General features: G+C 35.2%; 1 protein-coding gene across 33 annotated transcripts in view; it reads left to right on the top strand.

Moving 5' to 3' along the window:
* The window catches only part of KIF21A (kinesin family member 21A), a 149,893-nt gene extending 128,479 nt beyond the window's left edge, over nt 1–21,414 (top strand). For all 33 annotated transcript variants that reach the window (XM_047429133.1, XM_047429128.1, XM_047429123.1 and 30 more), the window contains 7 exons: nt 3,089–3,225; nt 4,876–5,056; nt 6,913–7,077; nt 9,704–9,821; nt 11,507–11,677; nt 12,963–13,162; nt 20,125–21,414. In XM_047429133.1, coding sequence (XP_047285089.1) covers nt 3,089–3,225; nt 4,876–5,056; nt 6,913–7,077; nt 9,704–9,821; nt 11,507–11,677; nt 12,963–13,162; nt 20,125–20,218 — 1,066 coding nt within the window. In that variant the 3' untranslated portion in view covers nt 20,219–21,414. The remainder of the gene's footprint in view (nt 1–3,088; nt 3,226–4,875; nt 5,057–6,912; nt 7,078–9,703; nt 9,822–11,506; nt 11,678–12,962; nt 13,163–20,124) is intronic.

Raw genomic sequence — 24,618 nt, 5'->3', positions numbered from 1 at the left:
CATCTGAGGGTACTGTTTAGCTTTTTTCTTAAGAAGATTTGTTATTAAATGCACATTGAAAATAGCTCTTAGGCTGTTAACATGAATTGTTTTCTTACAATCAGCTTTTTGACCTATATATACATATATATTTTCTGTTTGAGAATTAACAGTAGCAACCTACTATTCTGTAGAATCATACCTTTTCAATATTTGAAGAAATATGTGTAAATTTGATGGCTTCAGTTCATATCTATGAACCTTAAGACATCAAAATTTCCAAATGGCAGATTCAGACTTTTGAGCGGGTTTTGCTCCAATTTCAATTTTAATCTGGTTAAATTGTTAGATTACAAATTACTGAGCATTAGTTTCAGTAATCTCAAATTGACACATGTATGCAAATCATGGCATCACATTTCATAATTATATATCCAGAGATAATAATTCCTTATATCATTTATAGGGATAAGAAACTCCTATCACTTTTGTGATCATTATAACCAGACTCTAAAAATAAATGTTTTTTTCTCCCCAACTCTAAATTTACCTCCTTTAAATTTCCATTCGTTAGTCTTCATCAGCCCTTTTTTTCCCTTACCAGAATTAATTTTATATATCTTTTTGTTTATATATGACAGCTCTTCATATATTCAGCCCTTTTAAATTATGCTGTTGTATCCTCTCTCCGGTAAATGTTCTTTTATCAGCTCAATAGTTTCATCATCTGTTCCTTATGTAATATAGTCTACAGATCCTTCATTCTGCTTCTACTGTTTTGTAAAGGCTCCAATTTTTCAATGTTCTTCTTAAAATGGGACATCTAAAACTACACCTCATTCCATATATGGCCTACATAGAATGCAGTAAGTCTATCGCTGTCTTTCTCCTGAAATATTTATTTCTATTAAACAAATCATTGATAGTGAGTCGGCATATAAAATAAATGAATTTTGTTTCAGTGATTTTTTTCAGGCAATATAATGTCCAGTTCTTTAATATATCCATTTAATAAGCATGCCACTTCTCCCTAGGGCTAGGTAAAGATTGACTAGATACCAAAGATCTTCCAGATCAGCAGTGACCTTGACTCGTTAGGTATGACTCTTCAACTACCTGTGGAAATACTTTACTCTAACAGTTCCATACTTATTCACATTGTCCACAAGGATATCATTTAAAAGTCTTATTGTATGGGCTTTATTAGAGTCAACATATATTGTGAATGTGACATTCCCTTAAATTGGTATCCATTAACCCTACAAAAAACTTTCCCCATGAAATTGATAAGCCCATGTTATCTTTTGTTGGTGAACATTTATTTTTAAGTGGATAATGATTTGCTTAATGTATTCCTCTTTGAGACTCAACGAGAAGTTGAGTTTCTGAATTCCACGTTTTTCCTGCATTTTGGAAGATCAGGTCTACATGTTTTGTCCCTTTTTTTGATCTTTGTGATTTCTTAGAGCACTGACAAGGATTTTGCTTACACAATGGCATATACTTTCAAAACCCTATGATATAATGATTTAAAAACAGAAATACTTGAATTTATTGAATAAATCTCCATTGTCAGCTCTAACTTATCTGGGGCTCACGTTTCTTAATCATTTCTGCCCTCTTGCATCTCGAAGATTATTCTCTTTCATTAAGAAGATGGAAACAAAACAGTTTTCCTTTATCCTTATATTTGTCCTAATATGCCATTTGTCTTACATAATGGACATAATTCAACATAATTTGAAGCATATAATGCTTTGAGTGAAGGTACATTTGACTGTTTGTCATGTCTTAATTCATTATCATCTTTAGCCTCCCCAACACCATTATTTTAATTCAGACCCTATCTTAAATTCCTTTGGGAGAGGGACAATGTTTTGATAATCTTTATATTTCCATAGTACATAGCCCAGTGCCATAAAGCAGAAACTACAAAAATATCAAATTTATGAGAAAGCTCCCTAAAGAGCTTCATTGTTTTTAATTTTTTTATTTTAAATTTTTGCAGGTACATAGTAGATATATATTTATGGAGTACATGAGATGTTTGGATACAGGCATGCAATGCACAATAATCATATCATGGAGAATGGGGTAGCCATCCCCTCAAGCAATTATCCTTTGTGTTGCAAACAATCCAATTATACTCTTTTAGTAGTTTTAAAATGTACAATTATTATCAACTATAGTCACCCTGTTGGGCTATCAAATAGTAGGTCTTACTTTATTCTTTCTATTATTTTTGTACCCATTAAACATCCCCACCTCTCCCAACCCCCACTGCCCTACCTAGCCTCTGGTAACCGTCCTTCTACTCTCTATGTCCATGAGTTCAGTTGTTTGATTTTTAGATCCCATAAATAAGTGAGAATATCCAATGTTTCTCTTTCTGTGCCTGGCTTATTTTACTTAACATAATGATCTCCAGTTCTATCTATGTTGTTGCAAATGATATGATCTCTTTCTTTTTTTATGGCTAAATAGTACTCCATTGTGTGTATGTACATTTTCTTTATCCATTCACTGTTATTTTAAATTCTCATTCTTTTAAAATTTTCTTTGAGATTGTCAGTTCTTTAAGTTTTTGATCTTTTTAACCCATTGTCCCTTTAGAATTTCTTTTCATTCAATTATTCCTATCTTCAATTTTTGTTTGAAATCTGCTTTCTTAGTATTTTAGGTGGCATATATATTACACTTTCTCCAGCATGTTCCTTTACACACCAGTTTGACATAGAATTATGTTTTCCTGTTATTTGTCATTTCTGCTCCTTCCTTATTTGTCAGAATTCAGTACACTCAAATAATTCCCATTGTGGCTTCGTTAAACCTTGGAGAGATGAAATTATTAATAAGAAAATCTAGATGTATTATAGTCTTTGCTCTTTGCAGAATGCAGCTGTTAGCAGATGCCTGATTAGTTGATATACTCCATCACTATTATTATTTCACACTTTGTCCTTTTGCTTAAAAGAGAGCAGTCTGGATTTTATTACTAATTACTTATAAAGACTTCTTAAAGTTAGGGGAAAAAAACAAAACTAGTCTCATGATATAGTCTCATGATACTGAAGTGAGTCTTGGTTTGTTTGTTTTTTCCCCACCTTAGGGGCATAATCAACCCATTTCCTGCTTCAAAAGGAATCAGAGCTTTTCCACTTCAGTGTATTCACATAGCTGAAGGGCATACAAAAGCTGTGCTCTGTGTGGATTCTACTGATGATCTCCTCTTCACTGGATCAAAAGGTGCTAGTAGTTATCTAATGCAGATATTTAATAGCTTTTTTTTTAAAAAAAATTACATTTTTAACATATTCTAGAAAACTGTCAAACTATTTAAGACCAGAAAGAATCGGATAATCTGGTTCAACCCCTGAATGTAAAATATATAAAATTATTGCATAGTTGAGCAGCAAGTAAAACCTCTGTTGATGTTTTGTGAATACAATGGTGACAGAATACATCTCTCTACAGTATTTGGGCATGTACTGCATGTAGAGTCCTGAATTTTGAAATGCAGGTTATATAAAAATCTATAAAAGGCTATTTAAATATACAATATGGGAAAGAGAATAAGATGCATAGCAACCACTATTTCTGCAACACTTACTACATATCAGGGGCTATGCTAGGCAGTATACTAATATATCTCACCTAATTCTCACAACAATCTCAATGAGATACATGTTGCATCCTCATTTTGTAAACAAAGAAACTCAGGATTCAAGTGAATAAATACTTTTCTCAGGTAAATTTAGCTAGTAAGTGGAAGAACAAGGATTAGAAACCTAGGTATACCCTTCTTCAATCCTGCACTCTTAACCCCTTTTGTACAATTGCAAGTAACTGGAAACCAGCTATAAATGCTTTGAAGAGTTATAGACTAAGAGTTTTGGGGTTCTGGAAAAGAGAGGAATTATGCCCAGCTATGAGAAACAAGGAAGGCTTTGACAAGGAGTCATTTAGGAAGTACCGTATAGGATGGTTTGGATATTTACAGGTAGGAATGAATAATCAAGATTACAGAATAACATAAGCAGAGACATGAAGATAAAAGTGGAGCATGTTTGGAAACTAATTCTACTTGGGTTGAAAAATGGAATATGTATAAGAGAAGTGCTGGTCATTGAGGCTAGAAAGGTGAAAAGCAAGCATGTACAGGAATTCAGGGAGCTAGTGAAAGTTTTTAGCATTTAGGGATAGTCCAAGATTCACTTTAATCAGCAAATATTTATTGCTCATTGTCTGTGAGGGAAGTATAAGATCCCAGCTAGAACTTATGAATTGAGAGTAAAAGTAAAGAAATTCTCCAATTAAAAAAACATATGTTCTTTGAAAATACTGTGTTTTTCTAATGATTCAAATTAAATATTTCTCTCCAGTATAATTAGATATTCAACATATCAGAAAAAGAAAAAGAATAGTTCTGTGATTATATTTTTGGGTCAAAAATAAAAATATAATTTATCAATCATTGACCCTTGGGGGGAAAAATGTGTGTATATTTACTAGTGTTGAGAATGTTGTGAGGAGGTAGGAATATGATCAGAGAAGAATGTTTTGAAGAGGCTGATCTGAGACTGCCATTCTAAATTCAGTGGCAATTTGAAGCAAGACTCTTGATATGACCATTTCAAAAATTTTCATAAATATTTTTTCAATACCACATGATACATACACCAGACATCCCAGACTTTTATCTGATCCTTTACACATACCTTGTCTTTGAGCCTGTTGCAGAGGGTCAAGGATGAAGTTAGGATCCTTGTGGTATGTTAATTACTATTTTCATTTCCTTCCCATAGAAGAGAAATTATTTAAATAATTTTTATTGTTAAGAGAACCTAAAGTAGTTCATATTAATGGTGTTTTCTTTTTTTTATGTGTTTGTTTTAGATCGTACTTGTAAAGTATGGAATCTGGTGACTGGGCAGGAAATAATGTCACTGGGGGGTCATCCCAACAATGTCGTGTCTGTAAAATACTGTAATTATACCAGTTTGGTCTTCACTGTATCAACATCTTATATTAAGGTGTGGGATATCAGAGATTCAGCAAAGTGCATTCGAACACTAACGTAAGTAACTTGAAGACATATAGCATAAAGGAGGAATAGCTCTTCTTTTTTTTTTTTTTTTACAAATATAAGAAAAGAGAGGACTATAAATGCATTTTAATTTTTGTATACCTGTCCACTTCCCAGAGGATATTAAAGTGTTCACAAAGAAAAGCACAGATAAGAGGGGGGAAAATTTGACAAATGAAATATAAGAGCCTGGTATTAAACAGAAAGGGATAAGCCATATTTGATCGGTGACTAAGTATACATTTCATATTTTCTCCCTCCCAAATATAAGGTATTACATTTTCATACTATTTCTTACTTGATAGAGTTCAATGTTTTATATTACTTGCTTCAAATAACTACCATTCCTTGGGAAATGGCTGAAATCACCATGGTAGGCAGTGAAGAAGTACTTATAACTTTTAATTAACAGAGATTGAAAAGCTGAGAGTGTTTTTTAAGGACTGAGACTGCTTTGGTGTGAGTACAAATTTCATAACTGCAGGTTATTTTGGTTAATTGGAGGATTAATTTGTTTTTTCTGTGCTCATTATTGTATTTGTCTTTAAAAGTGTAGAACAAGTGATTCTTTTTGCTGTGATATTGATGAATTTTTTAATAATCAAAATTGACGTAAACTCGGTAGTCATTTAAATGAGAGAAGGGAGCATAAGAAAGGTTAATTTTTACTAATTTGTAGAGATAGTAGAGACTGTTTTTAAGTGCTGTTTTGTAATTTGAGAACTACTTTATTATTCTTTTTACTGAATACAAGTCTTGAAACTCTTGTAGAAAAATAATACTATTATATCGTGTATTAAGATATAATATATCTTATGTTAGAATTTACCAATTCAATTGAATCACTGAAGTTAAATTTGAAAAGATTGATTATGGCTTAATATTTTAGAAGTTAGCTAAGAAAATGTTTCAAAATTTAAAAAAAATTTCACCTAGAATTTATCTGAAGAAATAGGCATACGTTATGTTTAAGGCCTTAGATACTCCATCTATGATTGGGTTAAAGTAAATGAAAACTGCAAATAATTCAAAAGGTCTCCGTTGTCTTTAATCCAGAAAGGCAATTCTTATACACAAAAGAGTATTGGTAAGCCTGGCCCTTGGGTGGAGTGGGGTGGTGCTTCTGGAAGCTGTAGGAAAATAAATTACTTTTGTGGCAACGTATCATTTGTTGATTTTTTTTTTTTTTGAGACGGAGTCTTGCTCTGTCTTCCAGGGTGGAGTGCAGTGGTGCAATCTCGGCTCACTGCCATCCGCACCTCCCAGGTTCAAGTGATTCTCCTGCCTCAGCCTCCCGAGTAGCTGGGATTACAGGCACGCACCACCACCCCCAGCTAATTTTTGTATTTTTAGTAGTATTTTAGTGTTTTTAGTAGAGATGGGACTTCACCATGTTGGCCAGGCTGGACTCAAACTCCTGACCTCAGGTGATCCACCCACCTCAGCCTCCAAAGTGCTGGGATTACAGGAGTGAGCCACTACACCCAGGCATTTGTTGATTTTTTTATGTTTAACATTAAAAAAAAATCTAATCTTTTCTGAAAGATGTTTTAGCCCTTCCTAACTCAGGGCCTGGAATTACTAGTATACCAAGTAAGAGTTTTAAACCATGTAATCTTATTTTATTCATTCATAATCTTATTTTATTTATTCATCTCTTCACTTACCAAATAATTATTTATATGCACCAACTCTGTGTTAGGTGCTGTGCTAGGTAGTATACATATAGTGACAAAAGGACACTGTTCTTGTTGTTGCCTACAGCCAGTTTCCTGGGAATTCAAGGAATTCTAAGCCAAACCCAAGTCCAGAAGTGTGACTTTTTTGCTTTGTTTGTATCTCTTAAGGTCTTCAGGTCAAGTTACTCTTGGAGATGCTTGTTCTGCAAGTACCAGTCGAACAGTAGCTATTCCTTCTGGAGAGAACCAGATCAATCAAATTGCCCTAAACCCAACTGGCACCTTCCTCTATGCTGCTTCTGGAAATGCTGTCAGGATGTGGGATCTTAAAAGGTAGATATTTTTAAGAAAACATACCTCTTGCCTATGGCAAATACAACTTCAGACATTAATAACATTAGTGCATGTGAAATCCAATTTTTATGACCCCAGAAGTTAATGTAAAATCATAGGCTTTTTTATTCAGCATAGTACCTCTAAATGTCTCTTGTGTCCTTATTAACAAACTGACAATTTTCTCTTTTTTTTAATCTCCGTTGCTGGGGAAAATAAGTATATGGGGGAAAAATAAAATTGAAACATTACAATTTCTTAATATTTGCCTACAAGTCATGTTGTTTACTAGGAAGAGGTCAAGATTCTCATCCTAGTTTCACCAGCACTCTTGATAGAGTTATTTCTTGCAACATCGTTTAAACATCTTATATCTTAAATTTTTTAATTTATAAAATTAACAACTTTGGGCATAAAGTCCTCAGAATTTTTGTGAATATAAAATAAAATATATGTAAACTATGAAGTATTAAGAAGATAAAGTAGTTAAAAAGAAAAAAATGATAAATTAAAATTTAAGGCATTACATCTTTCATTCAATTTTTATTTCCTATGAAGTGTGAACTCTTTTCCTTTAGTTGAGTGTTTATGTTAGCTTGTTTTCTAGTTCTTAAAATTTTGGCAGCAAGGAAACATTCACTTATTAGTTAACAAATATTTATTCAACCCAAATATGTCAGGCATTGCACCAACAGTGTGGTGAGTACTAGGAATAAAGACAGAGCAAGACAAATGTTGCTGGTCTTGAACTCCTGGGCTCAAATGCTCTTGCCACCTAAGCCTCCCAAAGTGCTCGGATTATAGGCAGGAGCCACTGTGCCCAACCTAGATCTACCTTCTTAGAGCTCATCTTATAATGGAGAATAAAGGCCATTAAACAGGCTATTACAGGATTCTTAGTAACATTTCCAATTCAGGTAATATGGGGTGCCTCTCATCCAGAAGGGATTTGCCAGTGGTAAATCAAATGGATGGTTTTTTGAAAAACATTGGGAAAAACTAGTGTTATAATTTATAACATTTAAAGCATGTTAAAGTATGACTGGCAAAATATAATAAACATAATTTATAGATAAATAGATAAGAGAAAAACCAGGGTCCTAACTACTGTATTATAAATAAAATGTAGAAAATTAAAAACAGTACTTTTTTAAGAAAATGAGAAAAGAGGTGAGGACTTGGTTTATTCTTGAAGATATTTAATCTGACTCATAGTAAGAGCACCATAGAAGAAATAGTCAAAATCATGACACAAGGCAGAAAAGATACCAGCTTTTGAAAATCTTTTGCACTTTTTAATTTGCTGATAGGTTTGACTCTTGGAGACCTGGTTGATTTCAGCAAGATGCTACTAATTAAGTGTAGATCTTAACAAAGGAACTAAGAGAATAGTTTTCAAGAAACTGTAATATCTTAGAAGCTAGATACATGTCTTTATTCCAGCAGCTTGATTTGAGGTAGGACTGTGAAACGAAGGTTCATTGTTACTCTCTGCCAACTGACATCACACAGTTTTCTACCAGCCGCATAGCTGGTCATTTTCATGTCTTTATAATAATTGATGAAATGGACCACTTATTGTCTGATGTACACATCCACACAGATATGTGTGTACATAGATATATGTATGTATATATGTGCATATATGTGTATATATGATGTACATGCACTTATGTGTATTTGTGAAAATGTGTGTGTAATAAAATAATTTTACTTTCTCAGTATTGTTACTGATTTTGTAATTACATCAGTGATATCGTCATTTTATTTGAAATTCAAATTGGACCTAATCAGTCCTATGCCTATCACATATTCAGACATTTAGCAGATTGATGTTTAGGTGGATTTAGGTTGGAGTTAAAATTAATCATTTTTTGCACTTCTGCTGCTTTTTTGCTTACCTAAATGACATTAGTCAGCTTTGGAATAACTTATTTATGACTCTCCCGTTTGCATCATAGATTATATTAGTTTTGACTAACTTGAATAGAGTTTCGTAGATGTGGAGCTAAAATGAAAAAAGCTGGTGATGCACACCTATAAGTCCCAGCTACTGGGGAAGTTGAGGTGGGAGGATTGCTTGAGGCCAGGAGATTGAGACTGCAGTGTGCCATGATCATGCCTGTGAATAGCCACCGCACTTCAGCCTGGCAACATAATGGAACCCCATCTCTGTTTTTTTTTTTTTTTTTTTTTCTTGAGTCGGATTCTCGCTCTGTTGCCCAGGCCGGAGTGCAGTGGCTCAATCTCGGCTTGCTGCAGCCTCCCACCCCCAGATTCAAGCGATTCTCCTGCCTCAGCCTCCTGAGTAGCTGGGAGTACAGGCACCCACCACCACATCCGGCTAATTTTTATATTTTTAGTAGAGACGGGGTTTCACCATGTTGGCCAGGCTGGTCTCAAACTCCTGGCCTCAGGTGATACGTCCACCTCGGTCTCCCAAAGTGCTGGGATTACAGGCATTAGCCGCTGCACCCGGCCCAAGATCCCATCTCTAAACATATACAAAGAAAAAAAAAAGTTAGTGAATTATTTTATGAAAGAATGTAGATCGTTTATGTTGAGGCTTAGTCCCATCATACTAAGAAATAATTTTAAACAAAACTATTTTTCTTTATTTTTAAAGGTTTCAGTCTACAGGAAAGTTAACAGGACACCTAGGCCCTGTTATGTGCCTTACTGTGGATCAGATTTCCAGTGGACAAGATCTAATCATCACTGGCTCCAAGGATCATTACATCAAAGTATGTATAAGAGACTTTCTGAATTATATTTGTCTATTAAATGATAATTTTGAAGTATTCAGATTCATCTAGGACCTCTTTCTCTTATTTTCTTTTTTCCTTTCTAGTCTTTGCTTTTTCTTTTTAATCTTTTCCTCATTCATAGTTAGTGGTTTTGTTGTCTTATTGTTCAATCATGCATTCTCACTTTTCATAGAAGAAAGGTTGGAAAACATTTTAAAGCTCTTTTAACTCAGTCTTCCAACTCATACATGAGTCTTATTGTCATGATCTTTTATCCCGAAAATATTATGATCTTCAGAATTTTATGAAATTAACAGATAAGGTAAGGAAAGATGCATAGTTTGATTCTAAAAATGTTAAATTTAAATGTTAAATGAAATACTAATAAAGGACATTCACGTGGCCAGAAGGCCATTAGAAATTCAAGTCTAGAGTTTAAAATAAGTTGTGACTAGAGATGTAGGTTTGGGGAGCCATTCAAAGAGAACCAGATGTTCAAAGAGTAAAGAGTTGATGATGTGGCCAAGGTAGAGAGAAGTTGACTGGGAACTCAGCCTTGGGGAATATCTGTGAGAATCAATAGGAAGAAGGTAAGAAAGAGAGGTAGGAAGAATGTAAGTACTCATTCTAGAAACTTTGATTAAGAAATGAGAGATGGGTTAATGACTTGAAATTAGAATGGTTAAGAAAAGAGGATTCTATACCCTAGAGACATGAACGTATTTATGTACTTAGGAGCTGGGCTTAGTGGAGAGGGAATGAGTGAGGAGAAAACTGAAGTGGTGGCAATTGATGAAGGTGGTAGGAGGAGTTAGATCATAGATGTGAACATTGAAAATAAGTAAGTATACTTTAGCCTCTGATAAAGAAGGGAAGGGTAAAAAGAAGTTTGAAGATAAAAAGAAACTTTTAGAATGGAGAAGAGTGTCTAAAAAGTTTATTTTTTATGACACTAGCCTTTTCAGGAAAGCACAAGGTTACGGGCTAAGAGAGATGAGTGCAACTGAGGAAAGTGAAACGATTTTGAACAGCAGCTTTGGGGAATTGGAGATGACCTCCGGGACTGCAGAGTTACCTAATAGTCATTAAATAATAACCATATTGTTTATTTGAATTTCAACTGGATTGATATGTAATATTTTTATTATTGAACATATCATTTGTGCACTTATACATGAAAAAAATCTGGTTTCCTTTCTTAAAAGCCTACAGACACAAAGCATGTAACATGCAAGCAAAAGTAGTGTGAAAAAAAGGGCACAGGTTTATCTTCAGTTGTCATTCATGCCAGGTTAATTTAATTAACTTAGTAAAACATACATAACAACAAATAACAAAACAAAACAATAATTAAGAGCTGGTGCCATCATGCATGCCTGTAATCCCAGCTACTCGGGAGGTTGAGGTAAGAGGATCGCTTGAGCCTGCAGTTAAGGCAGCTGTGCAGTATGATTGCACCTGTAAATAAGCACTGCACTCCAGCCTGGGAAACATAGTGAGACCTTATCTCAAAATAATAAATAAAATAAATAAAAAGAAAACATTTAACAAACCAGAAACAATAGATAACAAAACAAGTCATGTCTGATTAACATACATGTGTATGTGTTTCTAGGACTGTACAAATATTGGTGTTTATTTGCAAGTTAAATAGGATAACTGCTTTGTTTCTACCTTTTTAGATGTTTGATGTTACAGAAGGAGCTCTTGGGACTGTGAGTCCCACCCACAATTTTGAACCCCCTCATTATGATGGCATAGAAGCACTAACCATTCAAGGGGATAACCTATTTAGTGGGTCTAGAGATAATGGAATCAAGAAATGGGACTTAACTCAAAAAGACCTTCTTCAGGTAATGCAGAACCTTTTCATGGTATAGAGTGGGCATTTCAACACAATCCTGTAGCCTGTAGAAGAACTTGAAGAGCTTCTATGTAGATTTTTATCATTTACAGATAATATTAATCAGGCCTTTTTCTTAAAGAATGTTTCATCCTCCCCAGAGTTCTTCACTGGGAGAAGGGAAACAGTCAACATTGAATAATACCCGCTAGATAAGAGAAGAAGAGATGCTGATAAGAGTTGAAAGATCTAGGGTTGCTCCATGCATGTGTTTATTAAATAAAATCAGCCTGGGAGTAGAGCAGTTGCAGTTTCTCATTTTGTTTTGCTTTTGTTTATGTACACCTATTCCAAAGAGTTCCAAGTTTAGCTAAAGTCAAGAGTAATATAAATAATTCCTTATCTGTAAGAGCATTTTCATGCATCTAAGAGTGGTGGTTCTCTCATTTCCTACAAAATGATAGTTGGGTTGAAGTGATGTGTCAATAAATTCAAATATTGCTGTCTTTTCCTAATTCCCTGGAAAAGAAATTAGTTAACAGATGAAATTCTTTTCAAGTTTTTCCTTATATATATGTGTGGGTATTTATATGTCGTAGTTGCTTCCACTTTCCTGCTTGTAATCAGCAGATGAAAACCAAACAAACAAGAAACATAAATATTAATAGAAAAATCTTGGCAATAGATGCATATACAGTGTTGCATTCAAAAGCTTTTTAAAAATAAACATACATTCATGATTATAATTTTATATTGTGCATATAAATACACTTATGCATGAAGTATAGTCATATAGTCTGATCTTGTAATTACTGTTTACTCATCATGAAATATATAGATTATCTCTGGTCTTCTGCATAAATCTTCAGGCCTCTATATTCTCTATTGAAAGTTTAAACTGGTGGTATTATGAGCCAGTCCTTATAGTCCACATACCAGGTTGCAGTTTTCAAACTTGCTTTATTTAATACATTTTGGAGAAAGGTAATATATTTACTGCCCATGAAGAGGATGTGATGCTCGAAAGTTCTATGTATTTTCAGGGTCTTTTACATTCTGTAGATTATAGCCCTTATATGCTGATAACAGTGATGAAAATTAGTGAGGCAAGTTGGGAAGCAAATTATCCGTTTATTTCTTTAAATCACTAAGAGTGATTGCATAGAAAATAAACTTTCTCCAGCCAATTCCAAATATCAAGTTTTGGCAATAAAATGTTTTTCAGTTTATTTTCATGTGAAAATGTCAGTTTGGAAGCTCTCCTTAAGCTGCTGATTTCACTTTTTTTCTTTTAGCAAGTTCCAAATGCACATAAGGATTGGGTCTGTGCCCTGGGAGTGGTGCCAGACCACCCAGTTTTGCTCAGTGGCTGCAGAGGGGGCATTTTGAAAGTCTGGAACATGGATACTTTTATGCCAGTGGGAGAGATGAAGGGTCATGATAGTCCTATCAATGCCATATGTGTTAATTCCACCCACATTTTTACTGCAGCTGAGTAAGTTTTCTTATATGATTTTTCTCTATATTGGTTGCTTCTGTTCAGATTTAATAAATATGTTGTAAATATCTAGAAACGTTGAATATACAAAATCCTTCTTATAATCATTCTAATGTCTGTTTTAAGATGTCTTATTCATATTTTCTGATGTACATGTGGGCACTGAATTTAGGCACCCCAGGTTACATGACAATACTGTTACTCCTGTATAGCACTCTGCTTATTTTAGGAAGTGTGCTGTCACATGTTTCCTTGATGATTTTGACTTTTAGAAAATAATGACTAATTTCTAATGATTTTTATTTTCAGAAAGGCAACAAATTTGCCATTCTTCATATTTGGAACAAATTATTTAAAAACTCTCTGTGCTTCCTCCTCCCTTTAAAGTATAAGTACATAGTAATAACATCTGCTTCCTCCCGCTTGTGGATGGCTGGATTGATTGACTCATTTGTTCATTCACAATGAATCTTCTAAGTGCTGGGAATTGTTCCAGACTCCTGGGAATACAGCAGTGAGCAAAACAGATTCCAAACCCAGTCTATATTCTTATGAGAAGAAATGGAAAATACATTAGGTAGAATGTGTTAGATGGTGACAAGTGCAATGGTGAAAAAGAAAAGAGAGAAAGGGGATGGGATTTTCCTAGGGCAGGGTTACAAAATAGGGTGGTCAGCGAAGGCCTCATGGAGAAAGTGACATTTAAGATACTTGAAGGAGGTAGAAAGATGTGACTGTAAAATGACAGTTTATATATATAAATGACATTATATATAGTACATATATATATGTACTTTGAAAAGGAAAGTGTATGTATTATATAATGTGAAGTGTAGGTCTCATTCAAATAAAATGTAATTTCTTATGACTATCTAAAACACCTCCCAATTTTGTTTGTGTACCATTTATATCTATTTAATTTGAGCACTGCCTTTATTCAGTGTATCTCAAATGCATGAACACCCTGATTTTATTTTGAAGCCTTTACTTTATTTCTGTGTCATTTATTTTTATTTGTGCAGTTTCCATTGACTTTCTCCTTTCATTTAGATTTACTTTCATCTTTAAGTTGCATCAGAGCCGATTTATTTTGTTTTTCTAACGTGCTTACCTTTGATGCTTCATTGATGCTATTTCCAAGATGCATTACTTTCTGAAAAGTCACCGCTTTTGCTTACTTCCTTGGAAACTTATTGTGTCCTTGAAAATTTACTGGATATATCCCACATTGGCTGTGGGACACCCAATACAAGACTTAGTATTGTGTATCAGTGAGGCCTGGGGATTGACATGTAATGTAATTGTACTTACTTACCTTCCAGGATATGGTCTCAGTTTTGAAGAGCTAAAATTTTTCTTTTTTTTTACTTTTATTTTAGGTTCAGGGGTACATGTGCTGGTTTTTTATATGGGTAAACTTGTGTCACCAGTGTTTGTTGTTCAGATTATTTCATCACCCATGTACTAAGCCTAGTATCCAATAGTTACTTTTTTCTGCTCTTCTCCTTCCTCCCACCCTCCACCCTCAAATAGGCCCCAGTGTCTGTTGTTCCCTTTTTTGTGTCTATGAGTTCTCATCATTTAGCTCCCATTTATAAGTGAGAACATGTGATATTTGGTTCTCTGTTTCTGCATTTGTTTGCTAAGGATAATAGTCTCAGCTCCATCCATGTTCCCACAAAATACATGATCTCATTTATTTTTATGGCTGCATGGTATTCCATGATGTATATGTACCACATTTTCTTTATCCAATCTGTCATTGATGGGCATTTAGGTTGATTCCATGTCTTTGCTATTGTGAATAGTGCTGTTATGAACATTTGTGTGCGTGTGTCTTTATGGTAGAATGATTTATATTCCTCTGCTATACACCCAGTAATGAGATTGCTGAGTCAAATGGTAGTTCTGTTTTTAGCTCTTTGAGGAATTGCCACACTGCTTTCCACAATGGTTGAACTGATTTACACTCCTACTAACCAGTGTATAAGTGTTCCCTTTTTCCACAACCTTGTTGACATGTGTTATTTTTGACTTTTTAATAGTAGCCATTTTGACTGGTGTGAGATGGTATTTCATTGTGGTTTTAATTTGCATTTCTCTAATAATGTTGAGCTTTTTTTCATATTCTAGTTAGCGGCATGTATGTCTTCCTTAGAAAAGTGTCTGTTCATGACCTTTTTCTACTTTTAAATGGGTTTTTCGTTTTTTTCCTGATAAATTTGTTTAAGTTCCTGAGATGCTGGATATTAGACCTTTGTCAGATTCATAGTTTGCAAATATTTTCTCCCATTCTGTAGGTTGTCTGTTTACTCTATTGATAGTTTCTTTTGCTGTGCAGATGAAGAGCTAAACTTTTTCTCAGCTTACTCAGTGTCTATCACATGCAAATATGTCTACTACATATTTTCAAAATCACAGGAAAATAACCAAGAAAATCAGAAGGAATTTTAAAAAATTAGTTCTACTTACTTATTTAATAAATATTTATATAGTGCTTACTATGTGCGAGGCATTGTTCTAACTGCTTTGCAGACATTAACTCATTTAGTCCTTAGAATAACTCTAGAAGTTAAGTATTATTATTATAATCTCTATTTTACAAGTAGGAAAACTGAGGCACTTTATAACTTACATAGATAATTTCATCATACCTGTCATTTCTGGATCTGATATCATTGATTTTTCTCATAATTACTGGTCTCATTTTCTTCTGCTGCTTTTCATGTCAAGTAATATTTTATTAAATGTTAGACATTGTAATATTTTGAGTATCTCAATTTTGTTGTACTTTTTATTCATTTAAAGAGTATCAGGCTTTGTTTATCAGGCAATTGGATTACTTGTGGTTCAGTTTTATGTTTTTAACACTTGTTTTTAACCTTTGTTAGGTAGGTCTAGAGTAGCCATTACTCTAGGGTTAGTTGGCTCTTCTACGAAAGTTTAACTCTTCCTGCAGTTCTACTGAATGTCCCAGGTGTTCAGTGGTATCTCTCTACTATACCGGTCAGAAATTGAACATCTCATAGCCCTGTATGAACTCTGGGAGGTTTTCAATATATAGCTCCCTGGTAGCTGTTTGCTGTCTGACCTTATAGTTGCACTCTACTCATGTACAACTTAACATTCAGTCAAAGACTTTAGGGGACCCTATGTAGATTTGTAGAGTTCTTTTCTCTGCATAGATCTCTCCTCTTCTCTACTTTCTGGATTTTGTTTTGTCTCTTCAGCTAAGTGCTCCTGTGATTCTCTGCTTGGGTTCCCTCTCCCTTTGCTGTGGTGTGGAAAATGCTTCCAGGCAGATAGCTGGGGCTATCACACAGTTCATCTTCTTTGTTTCCCTTTTCTCCAGGATCACAGCCTCGCACTGCCTTTTGCCTAGTGTCTGAAAACAGCTGCTCCATAAATTTTGTCAAGTTTTCTCTTTGTTTACAATAGGGGGGTTAACCTGGTGTGAGTTACTCTGTCATGGCTAGTAGTGGAAATTTAATCATCTCAAACTTAACATATCCAAAATTGAGCTCCTGATCTTTTCTTTTCTTTTTTTTTTTTGATAATACCAAAATACAATACTTTATTATTTTGATCAATAATAATAATAATAATTATTATTATTGCCTGCTCCCAGGCAATAATGACAAACTAGAATAAAATGGTATATGTGTGTCTAAGGGTGGGGTTTTCTTGTTTATTTTGATTTTGGTTTCATTTGTTTTAGTTTAGCTCTATTAAACTTTTTTTTTTTAATTTAAGTTTTAGGGTACATGTGCACAATGTGCAGGTTAGTTACATATGTATACATGTGCCATGCTGGTGCGCTGCACTCACTAACTCGTCATCTAGCATTAGGTATATCTCCCAATGCTATCCCTCCCCACCCCCCCACCCCACAACAGTCCCCAGAGTGTGATGTTCCCCTTCCTGTGTCCATGTGTTCTCATTGTTCACTTCCCACCTATGAGTGAGAATATGCGGTGTTTGGTTTTTTGTTCTTGCAATAGTTTACTGAGAATGATGATTTCCAATTTCATCCATGTCCCTACAAAGGACATGAAGTCATCATTTTTTATGGCTGCATAGTATTCCATGGTGTATATGTGCGACATTTTCTTAATCCAGTCTATCATTGTTGGACATTTGGGTTGGTTCCAAGTCTTTGGTATTGTGAATAGTGCCGCAATAAACATACGTGTGCATGTGTCTTTATAGCAGCATGATTTATAGTCCTTTGGGTATATACCCAGTAATGGGATGGCTGCTCCTGATCTTTTCAAGAAACCTGCTCATTCTACAACCTTCTCCATCACAGTTGATAGCTTCCTTGACATTTCTGTGCTTGGGACAGAACCTTTCATTCCTCCCCTTCTTTTGTACTCCATATCTAATCCATCATCAAGTCCTGTTAGTTCTACCTTTAAATTATATCTAGAATCTAACCACTTCTTACCACATCCTCTACTTCTTCACCAGACTTAATCACTGTCAACTCTTGAATTACTATAATAGACTTCTAAACAAAGTCCTTTGCTCATATGTAGTCTACACTCAACACAAAATCTACAATAATCCTTTAAAAGTATGTTAGATGATATTCCTTCTCTATTCAAAACCCTACAGTGGTCCTCCATTTCATGTAGAGTTGAGTCCATACTTGATCTTGCCCTCTGAACATCTATTATCGCCCTTGCCTTATCATCTGATACCCTCTGGCTTGTCCTTTTCTTGCAACCCCAATAACCTCTTTGCTGGTCCTTGAACATTCCAAAGCCACTCCTGCCTGAGGGCATTTGCCCTAGCTGCTCTTTTGGCCTGGAATGTTTTTCTCTCAAATGTCCTGACCCTGCAAGTCTTTCTTCCTCAGTAAGAGTATCCTGGCCATTTTATTTAAAATTGTAATCTCTTCTATCACCTAGCACTCCAGGTCCCCTTGGTTGTGCTCTCCTTTTTTTTCCACCCCTGTGGCACTAGTCACCTTCTAATATACTCTATAGTTTAATCATTTATTATGGTTTATTGTCTGTCTCCTTTTGCTAAAGTATATGATCTACAAAGGCAAAAGATTTGAGCTTTTAAATTTTATTTTTGTTTTTTTTAAAACAGCATATCCTGGCCAGGCGTGGTGGCTCATGCCTGTAATCCCAGCACTTTGGGAGGCCGAGGCAGGCGGGTCATGAGGTCAGGAGATCGGGACCATCCTGGCTAACACGGTGAAACCCTGTCCCTACTAAAAATACAAAAAAATTAGCCAGCCATGGTGGTGGGCGCCTGTAGTCCCAGCTACTCAGGAGGCTGAGGCAGGAGAATGCCCTGAACCCGGGAGGCGGAGCTTGCAGTGAGCCAAGATCTAGCCACTGCACTCCAGCCTGGGCCACAGAGTGAGACTCTGTTTAAAAAAAAAAAAAAAAGCGTATCCCAAGCACTTAGAATGCTTTTTTTTTTTTTTTTTTTTTTAACAAACAAACAAAAAAACCATATCCCAGGGTGGACGCAGTGGCTCACGCCTGTTATCTCAGCACTTTGGGAGGCCGAGGCAGGCAGATCACGAGGTCAAGAGATCGAGGCTGGCCAACATGGTGAAACCCCATCTCTACTAAAAACGCAATAAAAATTAGCTAGGCATAGTGGCATGCGCTTGTTTTCCCAGCTGCTTGGGAGGCTGAGGCAGGAGAATCTCTTGAACCTGGGAGGCAGAGTTTGCGCAGAGGAGCCGAGATCGCGCCACTGCATTCCAGCCTGGCAACAGAGCGAGATTCTGTCAAAAAAAAAAAAAAAAAAAAAAAAAAACATATCCCAAGCATGCTTGGCATGTAGCAGGTTCTCAGTAAACATTTGTTGAGTAAATGGTTGAATGAATAAATGCAATGCTTGAATGGGTGGATAAATGAAAATATTCCATTGCTGTTATCAATGTATGTGTGCTGTGTGGGATGGTGAGAAGATAACTGATTACAATCTAGAAAGCCTGGGTTCTAGAAAGCCTTTGCTGTGTTACATTGGCACTCCACTAAACCTTTTTTCCCTTGGGATGGAATACATAATCTCTGAAGTGCATTTTAACTATTAAATTCCATGGAAACTCTTCTTTATTTATTTTTTTTACTTTGGGTTAATCAGGAAATTGGAAAAAGAAACATTTCTTTAACCATGAGAGATATGTTAAGAAATGTGATTATCTAATGACTGGTCCCCAGTATTCACCTGCGAGGGCAACAGAAACATGTTTTCTCAGAAATACTATTTCTTCCCTTTTTATAAAAAATTTCAATTTCAATGAACAATAACTGTGTATATTTACAGGGCATCAGAATCGCTTTTAATCTTCTACATTCTGTGCTAAGTGGAGTATTAGTTCACTTCTCAATAGCCTCTTTATTTTTCTGTGGGCTTATTTGCTGAGTTTACCCAGAGATAATTCTTCATGACTTTGCCAGATTCGCTAACTCCCTAGAAACCCTGCCCCAGCTTTCTCCCTGCCTAGAAGCCTCACTGTGACCTGCAGGCTGTTTTGACTGAAGCCTTCTGACACTGTGTCAAATCACATACTGTCTTTTAGAATAATGACTGCAGACCCAGTGTTAAAGAGATAGGGCTCGGAGCCAGACTGCCTGGATTCACATCTCAGCTGTGTCACTTACATGTGATTTGGGCCTCAATTAGCTCTTCAATAAAAAGAGGATTATAGCAGTAGCTATTGCTGATGGTAGTTAAAGGGAATTAAATGTGTGTTAACATATGTAAAGGGCACATGGTAACAATGCCTGGCTCACAGTAAGCCCTTGATAATATAAGCTGTTATTATTAAGGTATGTGTTTGCTATATAAATGAGACAATGCATATTTATACTTGGATTTCTTGAAGACCTATGTAGAAAATATTTCCATGATAAGTAATTATAAGAGCTATTTCTTTATCTTTCTGCCCTTGTTCATATATCCATGTTTTGTTTATTTTTTTGTAGTGATCGAACTGTGAGAATTTGGAAGGCTCGCAATTTGCAAGATGGTCAGATCTCTGACACAGGAGATCTGGGGGAAGATATTGCCAGTAATTAAACATGAATGAAGATAGGTTGTAAACTGAATGCTGTGATAATACTCTGTATTCTTTATGGAAAATGTTGTCCTGTACTTACTAGGCAAAACGTATGAATCGGATTAACTGGAAAATATATCTGAATTCAACTGCTGACTATAAATGGTATTCTAATAAAATTGTGTACTATCCTGTGTGCTTAGTTTTAAGATCAACCAATAGATATATATCCTACAATTGATATATTGCTTTATTCACACTTTTATTGTGGCTGAATTTTTGTGCCTATCTATAAAACACACTTTCAAATTATTTGAATTACCAAGACGTCTGCTTTTGTGACAGTCAGAAAACACACCTGGAATACGATGCAGCCCACCATTAACTCATTCATGTAGTTTATTCAAGTGATTTATGTATTTAAACTAAATATTGAAAATGTTAGTCAAATTGTGGTTTGCTTGTCAGGTATTTATATCAGTCTGTAGTGGATTCCCAAATTTCAAAGCTCTTTTAATGTAATGGACAAAAATAAGATATGAGAATATTATTGATGAATTTTCATAAGGTGGAATTGATCTTAATCTACTAACAGAGAAGGGTAGACAGTTTGTGTTAAATGTTGGCATTTACTTGTATTGACCAAAGTTTTGCAGCTCTACTATATTCTGTGCTCAGGACTAAAATGCTGTTAATTTTTTTTTTTTTTTCCAGTGCTGTGCATATATTCTGTGATGGGAAACATTGTTGATGTCCTAACAGAAATATATTTTGATCTATTTTCCTATGGAGTTGTTTCTATTATGACCATTTAATTTTGTTTTTATTTAATAGTAGTATTTCCTTCCCTTTTATCTAATTTTTTATATGCTGCTAAATATATTTTAAATATACTATGTTTGCGAACCTTGGTAGCTATGATGAGAGCTATTATCATCTGTGGTGGGAAAAGCTATGTAAATAGGTAGATTGTATAGAGAGACTATCTTGTGTTGTGCCTGTATGAATTTTTAAAAGTTGTTGACTGGATTTTGCAAAAGGATGTATAATATTTCTGTCTGCTCAGAATATTAATTTGTAAATTCTGCAAGTTTAATTTTTATGTAGATGGTATAACATTTGAAAATATTGTCTTATGTGATTTTTTCCCCTGAAAATATTTGCTTGTAAATGAAAACTTAGCTAGGGCTTAAATAAACATGTTGCTATGAAATTATTTTTACTGTATTGTTCTTTTTCCAAATTGCAAGAGAATGGCCAGTGTTTGTAAAACTTTGTTTTATTTTTGTGTGATGGAAGAAAAGACATATTTTTGGTTATCTGGCAATCCATATGCCTTCCTTTCTTTGCTTACTAGACGTGAAATATTCTTGAGGATTTTAAACAGTAACCTAATCTTGATGAACCATGGAAACTCACTACTTAAAGCAATTAAGTTCAACTGTGTAATTTAGGAATTTGAACATGGATGATAAAACAAAACAAAAAAAATTCCTATAAACATTAAGACAGTGGTGACCTTGTTTTCTAGAGAAGAGAAGGGGTGGCTTGTGACTGGCAGGTGTCACAGCAGGTGAGTTGGGAGGGTTGGGAGGGTGCTTCTGGGGTCCTAGCAATGTTGTAATTTTTGACCTGGGTCCTAAACTTAAGCATTCACCTTCTACATACATGTTGAACTGTATGTATATTTCTCTATCCTCTTTTATGTATGTGCATATGTTCTAAGTTTCATAGCAAAATAATCTTTGAAAAAAGTTTTAAGGAAGAGATTTTCCTATAAGGACAAAACTCAGCTCCTTTGTAATTTTTCCTCCTTCCCTGAAAGAAGGTACCATGCCAAGATCTGAAAGAGACTTCAAGACTATTTTAATTTCAAGTCTCTTGCAGTGTTTCTTTTTTGCAGGTTTACAGCTCAATAATTCATTAGCTTGATAATTGACTTATTCAATAGATGTTTAATGAGCATACACATTGCCAAGTATTGGGGGTGAAAAAATAACAAAACCGAGATGACACTTGCCCTCTGAGTAGAGTGAGATAATAAAACCAGCATTTACATAATAGCTTGGTAAGTGCTCAGATAAAGTCCAGGGTGCTTTAGCACCTATTAGACATATCCAAACTTAACTGCAAATCCAATGAGAGGTCCTGAGCACTGTGTTTGGTTGTGCAAAATACAAAGTTCAGTGTCTAATTTTACCTTTTAAAATGCTGGAGGCTCAGCTAGTGTGGATCTGATTGAAGAAATTCAAAAGCATATGTAAAAGAGGCAGCCTTCTTTAAAAAAATTACATTTTGAAACATGTTAACCCCTAAAGATCCCATTCAGAAATGTTAAAATAACTCTTAAAGCAGTTGAGATAGTGCCTGTAAGATTTAAAATGGATTACTCCACACTGTGTATTAAATATATGTTCTGTTCCCCCATACACACAGAATAGCCTCTTCTTTTTTTAGAAGATATGTTTCTGGTTTTAAATCCAAATCTCTAAAAGTTTGCTAAGAAATAATTACAAGATTTTTCATATTAATTCAGCTCTACCTTACAGCTTCACATTTATTATTTAACTCTCAGTTGATGTGGAGTCTTTCATAAAAATTTAAATTAAAATCATCAACAAGCAATATCTTGTTTCATGCTGCTATTTGCTACTTTTCCCAAGTGTTTCCCATACCTTAACTCAAAATGATTTCAAATTCTGTTTTCAACCTCATAATAGATAATTCTTCTGCTTTGTTATTGGGGATTTTATTTGCCAACTACTGTGCAGATGCTAATGGCTGGAATTTTGTATTGTATTTACAAATTATAAAATGTACAGATTGCTGTGTGTGAGCGTCAGTATACAAAAATAAGAGTTGTCTATCCTTTCAGTTTTTAAGTTAAATAGCAAGATGCTTAACCACTTTTAAAATATGCTGCCACTAATCTCTCCTTTTATTTTTTAATATCTTGATGAGGATAATAATAGCCAACATTTATTGAGCATTTATTTTCCCCTTTTGTTTGACTGGACATCCCCTGAAGTAGGGGAATTTAAAATGCCATCTCCCAAGTTTGGAGATGTTTAATTGTGAATAAATAGTATGCATCCTAGAATTGATGAAATATAGTACTACATGTTGTGGGGGTTTCTGCCAAACAGATAAAAATAGTGACAAATGTTGTCTATATCATATATGGTAGAGAATATGATTCCAAACCACTTCTAATATGCTTTAGTGTATGTTAGATTTAGGAAAAGCAAAGACCACATTTCCCAGACTTGCTTCCAACTGTGTCCCACATTTAACCTGCCTTCCACCAAACATATAAATTCAGGCAAGAGGTAGAGTGAGGAGGAACCAGTGTTTCTGCAGCGCAATTTTACAGGCTTTTTTTTTTTTCCAGTGGCAACAGTGACAGTGTCCCAGCTGGTTACTAGCTGTGGGTGCTGTGAGATCAGGCATAAGCGGGTCTTTTTGTTGGCACCCAGCTGAGCTGCTGGTCTTGGAGTCAACAGGGGAGAGGGGCAGTGGCTCCCTAGTTCCCCGTCATCCTGACTGGTGGAAGCACTAATTTGATAGACTAATTCTGGGAGATAACCTAGCACTTGCTCCTCTAGTCCTAAATATTTTGTAAGCACCCACTTTTCTATGCTAAATTCCTTCCTGCTTAAACCAACTGCAGTGTTTTCTGTATTTGCAATTGAATTTTAAAAGATATACTATCCCTTTTTGTCACCTGTGTTCAAAATAAATGGAAGATGTCTTCCATTTATTTTTTCCAGACTCTTAAGTTAGTTCTCAGAAATGACCATCCTCTTTTCTCATTAATCTATGTAGTTGTTTTCACTTTGAAATCAATACTTTTCAGTTGTCTGGAGTCTTCCTATGTTGGAATAGAATCTCATTAAGTACTATGATTCTTTATGAAAGTCATTGTCTTCGCTCTCCTCTGGCAGGTCTATGTTCCAGAGCCCCCAGGAATTATTCTGCGTTGTCCTTCATCCTCCAGTTGCTCAGTTCTTCTTAAGTGTGCTGTGCTGTCTTCCCCCCCACCCCCACACTTATAGTTCTATTTACCCTGAGTGGTCGGGGCTGGCTGGTGCTAGGAGCATAGTATTCTACTCTGATCGGTCTGCAATTTACAACAAATTGTCAGTCCTCTATTGATGCCCCGGGAAATCCCTTCTGCTCTTTCTTGTCTCCCAATCTGTATGTGTCAGCCTTCTCCAGTATATGCAGCTGCTTCAGAGTTCTGCTGGGCCCGCAAGACTTCGCACACCCTCTCAGGACAGCAGGCATTCAGAGATGCCGCTGTTCCTTAAAGGCATCCATAGTGCTGCTGTCTCTGTCTACCCTATTAGACAGGCTCCTCAGGGTTTTGGCCCTGTCCAGTGTTTTATTCAGGAGAGTTGGAGTGCAGAGATCATAGATA

This window comes from Homo sapiens, chromosome 12 (assembly GCF_000001405.40).
Source record: "Homo sapiens chromosome 12, GRCh38.p14 Primary Assembly".
Lineage (NCBI taxonomy): Eukaryota > Metazoa > Chordata > Mammalia > Primates > Hominidae > Homo > Homo sapiens.
This window is presented reverse-complemented; position numbering and strand designations above follow the sequence as displayed.